The 12,690-nt window shown below is 43.6% G+C and overlaps 1 protein-coding gene, 1 long non-coding RNA gene and 1 pseudogene across 10 annotated transcripts in view, besides 2 other annotated features; 2 read left to right on the top strand and 1 right to left on the bottom strand.

Moving 5' to 3' along the window:
• LOC105370563 (uncharacterized) overlaps window positions 1–505 on the top strand; it is a 45,899-nt gene extending 45,394 nt beyond the window's left edge. The window contains exon 3 of the long non-coding RNA XR_944024.3: window positions 449–505. This is a non-coding gene — a long non-coding RNA (uncharacterized LOC105370563). The remainder of the gene's footprint in view (window positions 1–448) is intronic.
• The window catches only part of LIN52 (lin-52 DREAM MuvB core complex component), a 116,538-nt gene extending 104,326 nt beyond the window's left edge, over window positions 1–12,212 (bottom strand). For 5 of the 9 annotated variants that reach the window (NM_001024674.3, XM_017021764.2, NM_001372005.1 and 2 more), the window contains exons 1-3: window positions 12,175–12,212; window positions 5,862–5,936; window positions 1,183–1,220 (exon numbers count right to left, since the gene is read on the bottom strand). In NM_001024674.3, coding sequence (NP_001019845.2) covers window positions 1,183–1,220; window positions 5,862–5,936; window positions 12,175–12,193 — 132 coding nt within the window. In that variant the 5' untranslated portion in view covers window positions 12,194–12,212. The remainder of the gene's footprint in view (window positions 1–1,182; window positions 1,221–5,861; window positions 5,937–12,174) is intronic. The other 4 variants (NM_001372006.1, XM_047431916.1, XM_047431917.1 and 1 more) reach the window with 1 other exon arrangement.
• On the top strand, window positions 5,683–5,755 carry RNY4P21 (RNY4 pseudogene 21; annotated as a pseudogene).
• Window positions 11,094–11,183: an enhancer, noted in NCBI's record as "active region_8725". NCBI's record gives its function as "activates an Ori minimal core promoter by ATAC-STARR-seq in GM12878 lymphoblastoid cells {active_cell/tissue: GM12878}" and the evidence as "EXISTENCE:reporter gene assay evidence [ECO:0000049][PMID:35858748]".
• Window positions 12,124–12,303: an enhancer, noted in NCBI's record as "active region_8724". NCBI's record gives its function as "activates an Ori minimal core promoter by ATAC-STARR-seq in GM12878 lymphoblastoid cells {active_cell/tissue: GM12878}" and the evidence as "EXISTENCE:reporter gene assay evidence [ECO:0000049][PMID:35858748]".

Here is a 12,690-nt window from a genome sequence, read left to right as displayed (position 1 = left end):
CTCCAATTCAACTGTTTGAAACACTAATCAGTAAGTAACATTCTCTGGCATACGGGAGATTCAAAGAAGAATCAAGAATGAGAAAATCATCATTTTAAGTGAGAGAAGTCTGGAATGGTCATCACTTGGAATTTCACAATTTTATTGTAGAGGTTTTAGGAAACTTCAGAATTTTACAATTTTTCATTTATGAAAGTGAACTTAAAACTATGAAAGAAAGCCCATTCTTAGAATAGCTCTGGGTTGGCAGTTTAATGCTAGTTGCACACGAGAATCACCTGTGTAACTTTTAAAACTATAAATGCCTTGGCCACACTCCAGACATAATGATTTAGAATATGAGGGGTAGGGAAGGGTCCAGTGGAAAAAGTAGAGCAAGGGACTCCTCATATGTGCTTTTCTTTTTTTATATTTAATTAATTTTTTTCTTGGTGCTCATTTGTTACAGTGCATTTTTCAAGAGCTCCATAGCTGCATGTTGATGATTCTGTCATGCACAAAAGGTAGGGTTGAGAAACATTATTTCAGCTTTGCGTCTTTCTCTTTTTTTAATTAAAATGTACTCAGAACCTATTATGTGACAAGCAAAACACTTTACATGCATCAAGTCATTTACCTCCAAATCAACTCTATAAAGTAGGTATTTTTTTCACATTAAAAAAAACAAAAAAACAAAAACACATACATTGGCTCACACCTGTAATCCTAATGCTATGGGAGGCTGGAGCAGGAGGATCACTTGAACCCAGGAGTTCAAGACCAGCCTGGGAAATATAGTGAGACCTCTTCTCCACAAAAAATTTTAAAAGGCCAGGCGCGGTGGCTCACACCTGTAATCCCAGCACTTTGGGAGGCTGAGGTAGGTGGATCACTTGAGGTCAGGAGTTTGAGACCAGCCTGACCAAGATGGTGAACCCCGTCTCTACTAAAAATACAAAAATTAGCTGGGCGTGGTGGTGGGCACCTGTAATCCCAGCTACTCAGGAGGCTGAGGCAGGAGAATCGCTTGAACTTGGTAAGTGGAAGTTGCAGTGAGCCGAGATCGTACCACTGCACTCCAGCCTGGGCGAAGAGTGAGACTCTGCCATAAATAAAATAAAATAAAATAAAGAACAGAGATCTGAGCTTTTACTCAGGAGCGAAACTTTGGATTGACCTCAGTAGGTAAGGGATATTACTTACACTTTTGAAGGAAGCTGCAAATTCAGCAACACCTGGTACTAAAAAGAAAAACAAAACTTTATTTATTCAATAAGTATGATTGCTCAGGCATAGAAGATCCAAATAATAAGAAAACAGCTTTGTCTGTTTTCTTATAGTTTAGAAGAAGAGAAAGAATAAACCAATAACTATAACACTGTTTCAGTCCTCAAAGAAAGATGCCAGGACTATGGCAAGACAAAAAATGGCAAGCTAAGTCAGACCCAGGGGGCATAAAAAGCTTCTCAAGGAAAATAATGCCTCAACTGAACTTGGAAGGACCAGGAGTTAGCTGGTTGGGAGGGTGGTAAGATACAATATCTCTTACCAGAAAGTTTAAACTGCCTTTTTAGAGATGCTGTTCTGTCAATCCAATTTTATTTATTTAAATTTCTCACAGAAAGAATCACATTAAAATGCAGAAAAATAAAAATCAGGGCTGGGCATTTTGAGAAGTCAAGGCAGGAGGATCCCTTGAAGATCAGCCTGGGCAACAGGGCAAGACCCCAGACTCTACAAAAAATTAAAAAACGGGCCGGGTGCAGTGGCTCATGCCTGTAGTCCCAGCACTTTGGGAGGCTGAAGCGGGTGAATCACTCGAGCTCAGGAGTTGGAGACCAGCCTGGGCAATATAGTGAAACCCCGTCTCTACAAAAAATACAAAATTTAGCCAGGCGTAGTGATGTGCCCCTGTAGTCCTAGCTACTTGGAAGGCTTGAGCCCGGGAAGTTGAGGCTGAAATGAGCCATGATCACACCACTGCACTCCAAACTGGGCAACAGAGGAAGACCCTGTCTCAAAAAAAAAAAAAAAAAAAACAGTTAGTTGGGCATGGTAATGCACACCTATAGTCCTAGCTACTTAGGAGGCTGAGGCAGGAGGATGGCTTGAACTCAGGAGTTGGAGGCTGCAGTAAGCTATCATCGTGACATTGCACTTTAGCCTGGGTGATAGGATGAGCCTCTGTCTCTAAAAAAAATATATAATTAAAATAACATCTTTGCCTGAGCTCAGGAGTTGGAGACCAGCCTGGGCAACACAGTGAAACCCCGTCTCTACTAAAATACAAAAGATTAGCTGGGTGTGGCGGCATGTGCCTGTAGTCCCAGCTATTCAGGAGGCTGAGGCAGGAGAATTGCTTGAACCCGGGAGGTGGAGGTTGCAGTGAGCTGAGATCACGCCATTGCACTCCAACCTGGGCAACAGAGCGAGACTCCATCTCAAAAAAAAAAAAGTTCAATCTCACCAAAAAGGAAATGTAAAATGAAACTAATAGATTAGTAACATCTAATACTGGCTAGTATGTGAGGAAAGGGGCCCTCATACAGTTATCCTCTTCCATGTATATGAAGATATGTGTACATGGGTATTCACTGATAAACTGTCTGTAAAGTCAAAAACTAGATATAGGCCAGGCACAGTGCCTCACACCTGTAATCCCAGTGCTCTGGGAGGCCAAGGTGGAAAGACAGCCTGAGCCCAGGAGTCTGAGACCAGTCTGGGCAACACAGTGAGATCTTGTCCCCCCCAAAATTTTTTAAATAGCTGGTTGTGGTGGTACATGCCTGTGGTCCCAGCTACTCAGGAGGCTGAAGTGAGAGGATCACTTGAGCCCAGGAGGTTGAGGCTGCAGTCAGCTGTGATCACGCCACTGCACAAAGCCTGGGTGACAGAGTGAGACCCTTGCTCAAATTAAAAAAAAAAAAAAACTACAAAGTAGATATAACTTAAGTTTCCAAATAATGTATGAATACATAAACTATAATATATCCATACAATGAAATATATTTAAAAGAATGAAGTAGACATACACATACCAAGATGGAACTGTTCACATGTGGAGTAAGTTAAGTGGCAGGCCACATGCATATGACTCCAACATTATGAAGAAAAAAAAAATCCCTCTTATACATACTTAAAAAATTATTATTTCCTTATCTGTATAAAATAGGTCAAAAGGATTTGTACCTTTTTTTTTTTTTTTGAGACAGAGTTTCACTCTTGTTGCTCAACCTGGAGTGCAATGGAGTGATCTCAGCTCACTGCAATCTCTGCTCACTGCAACCTCTGCCTCCCGGGTTCAAGCGATTCTCCTGCCTCAGCCTCCCAAGTAGCTGGGATTACAGGCATGTGCCACCACGCTCAGCTAATTTTTTGTATTTTTAGTAGAAACGGGGTTTCGCCATGTTAGCTAGGCTGATCTCAAACTCCTGACTTCAGGTAATCCGCCCACCTCGGCCTCTCAAAGTGCTTGGATTACAGGCGTGAGCCATCACACCTGGCCGGAGTTGTACCTTTTACAAGGATTTGTACGATTAACAGTGGTTAACGTTATAAGAGTGGGCCAGGTGCAGTGGTTCAGGCCTCTAATACTAGCACTTTGGGAGGCTGAGGCAGGCAGATCATCTGAGGTCTGGAGTTCAAGACCAGCCTGTCCAACATGGTGAAGCCTCTTCTCTACTATAAATACAAAAATTAGCCAGGTGTGGTGGCATGCACCTGTGATCCCAGCTACTTGGGGGGCTGAGGCAGGAGAATTGCTTGAACCCGGAAGCAGAGGTTGCTGTGAGCCAAGACTGCACCATTATACTGCACAGCCTGGGGAACAAGAGTGAAACTCCATCTCAAAAAAAAAAAAAAAAAAAAGAGTGATTGAAAAAGGTGAGAAAACGCTTTATATATCTCAGTATTATGTGAATTTCTTATAAATGTAGTTTTGGGGGCTGGCTGTGGTGGCTCACTCCTGAAATTTCGGCACTTTGGGAGGCCGAGGTGGGCGGATCACCTGAGGTCAGGAGTTCAAGACCAACCTACTTGGTGAAAAGCCGTCTGTACTACAAATACAAAAATTAGCTGAGCATTGTGGCGGGCACCTATAATCTCAGCTACTCGGGAGGCTGAGGCAGGAGCATCGCTTGAACCAGGGAGGCGGACGTTGCAGTGAGCCGAGATTGCACCATTGCACTCCAGCCTGAGCGACATGAGCAAGACTCCATCTCAAATAAATAAATACACAAACAAACAAATAAGTGTAGTTTGGGGGATTTTTTTGAGAAAGAGTCTTTCTCTGTTGCCCAGGCTCGAGTGCAATAGTGCAATCTTGGCTCACTGCAACCTCCGCCTCCCGGGTTCAGGCAATTCTCGTGCCTTAGCCTCCTGAGTAGCTGGGATAGCAGGTGTGCACCACCACGGCCAGTTAATTTTTGTATTTTTGATAGAGACAGGGTTTCGCCATGTTGGCGAGGCTGGTCTCAAACTCCTAGCCTCAAGTGATCCACCCGCATTGGCCTCCCAAAGTGCTGGGACTACAGGCATGAACCACCATGCCCAGCCTATAAATGTAGTTTTAAAAAGTAATTAATGGCCAGCCATGGTGGCTCACGCCTGTAATCCCAGCACTCTGGGAGGCCGAGGTGGGTGGATCACCTGAGATCAGGAGTTTGAGACCAGCCTGGCCAACATGGCAAAACCCTGTCTCTACTAAAAATACAAAAAATTAGCCGGGCATTGCGGCATGTGCCTGTAATCCCAGCTACTCGGGAGCCGAGGCAGGAGAATCGCTTGAACCTGGGAGGCAGAGGTTGCAGTGAGCCAACACTGAGCAATTGCACTCCAGCCTGGGCAACTAGAGCGAAACTCCGTCTAAAAAAAACATATATATATATATACATATATATAATAATAATAATTATTGTTGGCTAGGCACGGTGGCTCACACCTGTAATCCCAGCACTTTGGGACGCTGAGGCAGGTGGATCACCTGAGGTCAGGAGTTCGAGACCAGCCTGGCCAACATGGTGAAACCCTGTCTCTACTAAAAATACAAAAAATTAGCCGGGCATGGTGGCATGCACCTGTAGTCCCAGCTACTTGGGAGGCTGAGGCAGGACAATCGCTTGAACCCTGAGGCAGAGGATGCAGTGACCCGAGTGCACCACTGCACTCCACCCTGGGCGACAGAGAGAGACTCTGGTTCAAACAAAATAATTATTATTGTTTAATGGCTCCTTATTTTCTGAGTCACACTGTGTTCTGAACAAATTAAACCACCAAACAGCTATTCTTAACACTGGACTTCAATCTCTTCTCTTTGAAATAAAATAAAACTTTAATCATTAAAGTTAAATGATAACTCTTCAGCCTGGTCTGATGGTAATGGGTTATCAGAACTTTTTTTTTTTTTTTTTTTTTTTTGAGACAGAGTCTCACCCTGTCACACAGGCTGAAGTGCAGTGGCACAATCTCTGCTCACTGCAGCCTCCGCCTCCTGGGTTCAAAAGATTCTCATGCCTCAGCCTCCTGAGTAGCTGGGATTACAGGTGTGTGCCACCACATCCAGCTAATATTTCTATTTTTTTTTTAGTAGAGACAGGGTTTCACCATGTTGGCCACGCTGGTCTCAAACTCCTGACCTCAGGTGATCCTCCCAACTCGGCCTCCCAAAGTGCTGGGATTACAGGCATGAGCCAACAAGCTCAGCCTGTTATCAGAACTTATTAACGTTAGTGTCACTAAAGTTTGTATACAACCCCCCACTGCTAAATTTGACTAGCTTCAAAATAAATAAAAATTTACAAAATAAATAACTCTTTAAAAATCTCTTTAAAAAGGAACATTGTTTCTCCTGCATTGACTCTGATATAAAGAAGGCAAAAACTTACATTGTTCTGGCCAAAGATCTGGTGAGGCACGGTCAAGTTTTTCAAAACTTAGCAAAGATGCTTCCAGATCTGTCCCTAGAACAAAACATCCAGATGAACCAAGAAGACAGGAAACACATTAATGTATATGATACTTCAATCTCAAAGGACATAAACTGGAACACTCACCTGGAAGTCTAGAGATATGAGTTCTGTAACTATTGATGCCACTGGTCCGTGATAGAATACAAATAAATCATTCTCCCTTACCAAACCTCACTCTTTCAATCTATGAATGGGAATGATATTTTATTGGGAGTGTTAAGAAAAATGAGTATCAATGAACCCACCTGCATCTTCATTCATACTCTTGTGCTTTCCTCCAGTTACAATGAATTAAGTGTTTCTCCTTCCATGAAACAGACTCTTCTGATAGCACTCTAGATGCCATCTTCTCTTGCTTTATCAAGGACATCATTTGCATATCATCTTTCTCAGGTACCATCAGTTTCTACCTTCTCTAGCCTCATCTCAGTGTCACTAAAGTTTGTACACAACCCCCCACTGCTAAATTTGACTAGCTTCAAAATAAATAAAACTTTACAAAATAAGTAACTCTTTAAAAATCTCTTTAAAAAGGAGCAGTACCAATCAAGCTGGTTGCAGAATTTCTGTGTTTCAAAAAAAAACCCCAGCCGGACATGGTGGCTCATGCCTGTAATCCCAGCACTTTGGGAGGCCAACACGGGTGAATCACAAGGTCAGGAGTTTGAGACCAGCCTGGCCAACGTGGTGAAACCCTGTCTCTACTAAAAATACAAAAAATTAGCTGGGTGTGGTAGCAGGCGCCTGTAATCCCAGCTACTCAGGAGGCTGAGGGAGGAGAATTGCTTAAACCCGGGAGGCAGAGGTTACAGTGAGCCAAGATTGCACCACTGTACTCCAGCCCAGGCAACAGAATGAGACGCCATCTCAAAAAAACAAACAAACAAACAAACAAAAAACACCAGGGCAGGTGGGGTGCCTCATGCCTATAATCCCAGCACTTTGGGAGGCCAAGATGGGTGGATCACTTGAGGTCCGGAGTTCAAGACCAGCCTGGCCAACATAGTGAAACCCTGTCTCTACTAAAAATACAAAAATTGGTCAGGCATGGGGGAACACACCTGTAATCCTAGTTACTGGGGAGGATGAGGCAGGAGAATCGTTTGAACCTGGGAGGTGGAGGTTGCAGTGAGCCAAGATCACACCACTGCACTCCAGCCTGGGCAACAAAGCAAGACTCCATCTCAAAAAAAAAAAAAAAAAAGAGTGCACTGTTATACATGCCCACTTGGGCTTTGGGAGTCACAGGCACCCACCCCTAGATGCTACCGTGGGGCTGGAGCCCAAAAGTGCTCGCCCTGACTCCTACACCTGCCCATCTGCGTGCTCCCTCTCCCATAAGAGGATTGAGTGCACACAGACAAGCCACACCCCTGTCGTATGTCCTGCGGTTAGGGAACTCCCCTATTTCAACATGAGGACTTTTATCTTCATCTGTATGCCAATGACTCCATATTTATATTTCCATTCCCAACCTTTCTAAAGAACTACAAAGGTTTATGTCCAAGTGGTTATTTGAATCCCTCTCTATTTACATATAAAAAAACTGCTTAAGGCCAGATGCAGTGGTGCACGCCTGTAATCCCAGCAGTTTTGGGAGGCCGAGGTGGGTGGATTGCTTGAGCTCACGAGTTTGAGACCAGCCTGGCCAACATAGTGAAAACCCATCTCTACAAAAAGCAAAAAAATTAGCCAGGTGTGGTGGTGTCAGCCTGTAGTCCCAGCTACTTGGGAGGCTGAGGTGGAAGGATGGCTTGAGCCCAGAGGTGGCAGCTGCAGTTAGCTAAGGTCACACCACTGCACTCCAGCCTGGGTGATAGAGCCACATCCTGTCTCAAAAAAAAAAAAAAAATCCCCACTTAAACTTTAAACCTAATTATCTTCAAAACCATATTCCCCCAATCTTCTCCCATCTCAAGAAATAACACTACCATAAATTCCAATTCTCAGATCAAAAACCCAGATGTCATCCTTCATGCATTCTTTTCCTTCACCCTTCCATAACCAATCCATGAGTAAATCTAGTCGTTTCTACCTTCAGAATACACCCTGAAATCAAATAACCCAAGGAACCATCACTTCTTTCTTGGACTACTTCAACAGCCTCTTAACAGATCTCTCTGCTCCCATTCTTACCCTTTCCCCTTCACACCCCCGGAATCTATTCTCCATAAAGAGGCCAGAATTGATTTTTTTAAACGTCAATCAGTTCGTGTCTCTCTCCAGCTTAAAGTTCCTCCCAGCTAAATCTGTGAATGTGTATCTACCACACTCTATAAAATCTTACTCAGCCTCTACCTAATTCTTTGACATCATTTCTCTTCCACTCTTCCCTTGCACACAGTAGTACTCAATATTAACATTTGTTGAGTTTTTATTGTATGCTCAGTATGCTAACCAGTTGCATAACTAGTTCATTTAATGCTATAAACAGCAGTTCTTAACATTTTCTGGGTAACCACATCTCTGGAAATCTGGGAAATAAAATGAACTCACTCCCCAGAAAATATACATACGTACAAAATGTACTTTTCTCTAAACTGAATTTGTTTTGCCAAATATTCCAAAGGAATTTCCAATGGCATTTTAATTGTAAAGAACTCAACTAATACATTGCCTTAATTAAAGCATCCAAAAATTAGCTTCTCTTTGTTACCGATTTCTGAGGAATGTTCAACCATAACAAAAGTAAAGTTATTGGGCCAGGTACAGTGGCTCATGTCTGGAATCCCAGTGCTTTGGGAAGCCGAGGCAGGAAGATTGCTTGAGCCCAGGAGTTTGAGACCATCCTGGGCAACATAGTGAGACTCCATCTCTACAAAAAATAATAAGGTGGGGGCATGGTGGCTCACGCCTGTAATCCTAGCACTTTGGGAGGCCGAGGTGAGTGCATCACCTGAGGTCAGGAGTTCAAGACTAGCCTGGGCAACATGGTGAAACCCCGTCTCTACTCAAAATACAAAAATTAGCCAGGTGTGGTGGCGTGTGCCTGTTATCCCAGCTACTGGAGAGGCTGATGCATGAGAATTACTTGAACCCAGGAGGCGGAGGTTGCAGTGACCCGAGATCATGCCACAGCACTCCAGCCTGGGTGACAGAGTGAGACTCCGTCTCAAAACAAAATAAATAATAATAATAATAAATTAGCTGGGCATGGTGGTGTGAGCCTATAGTACCAGCTACTTAGGAGGCTGAGATGGGAGAATCGCTTGAGCCTTTGAGGGTGCAGTGAGCTATAATCATATCACTGCATTTCAGCATGGGCAATAGAGTGAGAGAGACCCTGTCTCTAAAAGAAAGTTAAAAAAAAATTATTGGGGGTACAATCTAATAACCTACATGGGTGACCTTATGATACCACAGTCTGGGATAGAACTCAGACTCTGCTGTGAGTCTTACTCTCATAAATTAAGTAATTAGATGGCTGTATTTGAATTTCAGTTTTCTCCTTTTCAAAGACGCTCCAGCAAATTTATCACGAAAAAGACAAAAGAGTAAATGACAAACATATTAAAATAAATATTATCTGAATTAAATTTTAAAGACAGTGACAGGTGGAACACTAAAAATAGAAGTGAAAGAGCTAGGCCGTGGAATATTTTGGAATGAGATACTTATTTAGAAGCTGAATTTAAGTTCAAAGTGCTTGACTTGATTTTTTCAGATTAAAAAGAAAACATTAGGTGGAGAGGAGTGAAACTTTGTAAGAGATGAGAATGAAAACTTAAAAATCAAGAGTGCAAATAAAGTGACCATAGAGATGGCTAGAAAAGGAAAAAAATTTAATTTTTTTTTTTTTTTTTTTTTTTGCAATGGAGTCTCGCTCTGTCCCAGGCTGGAGTGCAGTGGCGTGATCTCGGCTCACTGCAAGCTCTGCCTCCCGGGTTCACGCCATTCTCCTGCCTCAGCCTCCTGAGTAGCTGGGACTACAGGCACCCACCACCACGCCTGGCTAATTTTTTGTATTTTTTAGTAGAGACAGGGTTTCACTGTGTTAGCCAGGATGGTCTCGATCTCCTGACCTCGTGATCCACCCATCTCGCCCTCCCAAAGTGCTGGGATTACAGGCGTGAGCCACCACGCCAAGCCAAATTTAATGTTTTTAATACTCTTCCTGGCCAAAGAAAGGAAACTAAATTGAGAGATGACAGGGGAAAAAAATCAAACTCAAGGAACACATCTCTAAAATCCCCAAAGTTTGTAAAAACAATTTAAAAATAAACTAAAAAGTTTAATAACAATTACTTCTACTTGTATTACTTGGCTTTTTTTTTCAACTGTGGTGAAATATACATAAATTTTACCATTTTAATAACTTTTAAGTATACATTTCAGTGGTATTAAGTACATTAATTGTGCAATCATCACATTCATTTCCAGAATTCTTTCACCTTCCCAAACTGAAATTTGGTACCCATTAACAATAACTCCCTATTCCCTTGCCTGACTTTTTAAATGCCCTTCTTTCTGGCAAGAGAAGGACATTTTTGCAAGAGCGCACCCAGGCAGGAGAATCTCTTTTGACTCCAAACATCCATAATTTCTTTTTTTTTCCTTCTTTTTTTTCTGAGACGGGGTCTCGCTTTGTCACACAGACTGGAGTGCAGTGGCATGAACATGGTTCACTGCCGCCTCCACCCCCTGGGCTCAAGAGATTCTCTTGCCTCAGCCCCCCCAAGTAGCTGGGACTACAGGTTTGTGGCATCACACCCAGATAATTTTTGTATTTTTTTGTAGAGATGGGGTTTCACCATGTTGTCTAGGCTGGTCTTCAATTCCTGAGCTCAGGCGATCTGCCTGCCTCAGCCTCCCAAAGTGCTGGGATTAGAAGTGTGAACCACCACGCCCAGCCATAATTTCTAATACAGTATGTACCTGCGCTCACAAAATTTAAGACTCGGTTAAACTTAAAACTTAAGATCAAGTAATATATTATTTCTGCATATATCTAATCAATCTTTCAATAAATGTTAATTAAAGACCTACTGTTCGTCAGGCACTGTGCTAAACCTGGATCCAACTATGAACAAGACAAACTTGGAATTTACAATCTAGCGCAAAAGGGGCAAAGTTAACAGAGTAACTATGCTGACAAGGAAGATACTGAGATAATGAATAATGGTGGGAAAGGGCAACTCCAGATACTGTGTTCTAAGAAAGACTCTTTGGGAGGTGACATCTAAAAAGAGAACTGAAACTGAAAAAAAAAAATGTTTATATGTTTGAGTCATCTTTTGGTCTCCCAAAGCACCTAGCATTATGCCTTTCATGTAGCAGGTACTTAATATAGCTCACCTTGGCTTCAATTTCTTCATTCCTGCAATGAACTTCCAAGATTCCTTCCAAATATAAAATGTTTTTGTCTAAGGGAAGGAAACCTATATATCAATAAAATCGATATATAGTTGGGATGAGGATGGTAGAACTAAAAATGAGTTTAAAAATGACTGCAAGACCCTAACTCTCTAAAGCAGAACCAAGAGGAAAAGCATGGGAGTATACCAAAACAACTTAATTGTTACTTGAAATGACTTGCATTTTACACAATATATAAACAGAAATCGTTAATTCACTCAGCCTTAAGAAACAACACGTAAAGCAGATGGAAGACAGGTTGCGACCTGTGCAAGACGACACTTAAAAGCTCAATACTGATTCTCCTCGCGACTCTCAGGGCGAGGGGCCGAGAACGTCCCCCGCTTCTCTTGCTGCCACGGCAATGGTCCCAAACTGAGGAGACAGGAGAGAGATCATGTTTCTCTTGCGGTTCAGTATCGAGATGAGGTCAGCCAGCAGCCCTGCGAGGGTTTGTGAGAATCATTCCATCCGTGCGCTCAATCAGAAGAGAACTGATCCTTTCAATGGGTACCCCAAGGAAAAAACTACAGTAAGCCACGTCCTCCAGAAACATCTCCTCCTCGACCCTCAGCCTCGCCCAAATAGAGATAAGGAAGGCACAGGGCGACCCCCCTGTCCTTTTACCCAGAATGAGTCCCTCCCTAGTGCCCTCCTCCACACGCCTGGTACAGAGCGGGGAAACTGGGCACCTCCGGAGCTGCTGTGAAGAACCGGTGAGCTGAAGACGGCGATGGATCTCAAGAAAAAAAATAAAAGGGAAAGGAGAAGAGCCCAAGAAAGAAATGTATGTTCGAGGGGCAGAGACAGAGTGGATGTTCCCAGTAGAGCAAAGAAGGAGGCTGCAGGCAAAGATCTCTAAGCCGGCTCTTACCGTCTGTGGGAGACGCCATCTTCCAACCCATGTCACGTGACGTGGCCAACCGTCGGCGGGAAAACGAGGTTCCATAAGCCACGCCCCCAAAGAGAAACCCTATCCCCAACTCGCAGCCCAGTCTCATTCCCTCGCCTCATAGGGCAATCTTTGCCTAGCCCCGCCCCTAAGTATAGCCACGCCCCTTACGCGGATGTTGAGGTGGAGCGACTGCAAAATTCTTGAAGGGTCTTATTTACTTTTTTCAGTGGGGGGGTGGGGCCTCGGTTCCGCCCTTGGCCAATCGGAGTTCCAGGTTAGGGGGGCGTCTTCCCCGTGTGCTCGGTAGGGAGTGTCCAAGTCAGGGGCGTCTTCTCTACCTCCGCCTACGTCATTGGCTGAGGTGGCAGAGGGCGAGAGCATTTTCGCTCCTAACCAATCACTTATCCCCAGGACGGGGGTGTGAGGAGAGGAATCAGGTGTTCGGACCAGTGATTGGCTGGAGAAAATAGTCCTCCCCACCAATGAGGAAGCCTG

The sequence above is a fragment of the Homo sapiens genome, chromosome 14, assembly GCF_000001405.40.
Source record: "Homo sapiens chromosome 14, GRCh38.p14 Primary Assembly".
In the NCBI taxonomy this organism is placed as follows: Eukaryota; Metazoa; Chordata; class Mammalia; order Primates; family Hominidae; genus Homo; species Homo sapiens.
Note: the sequence above shows the minus strand (reverse complement) of the source record. Positions and strands in the feature narration are given on the sequence as shown.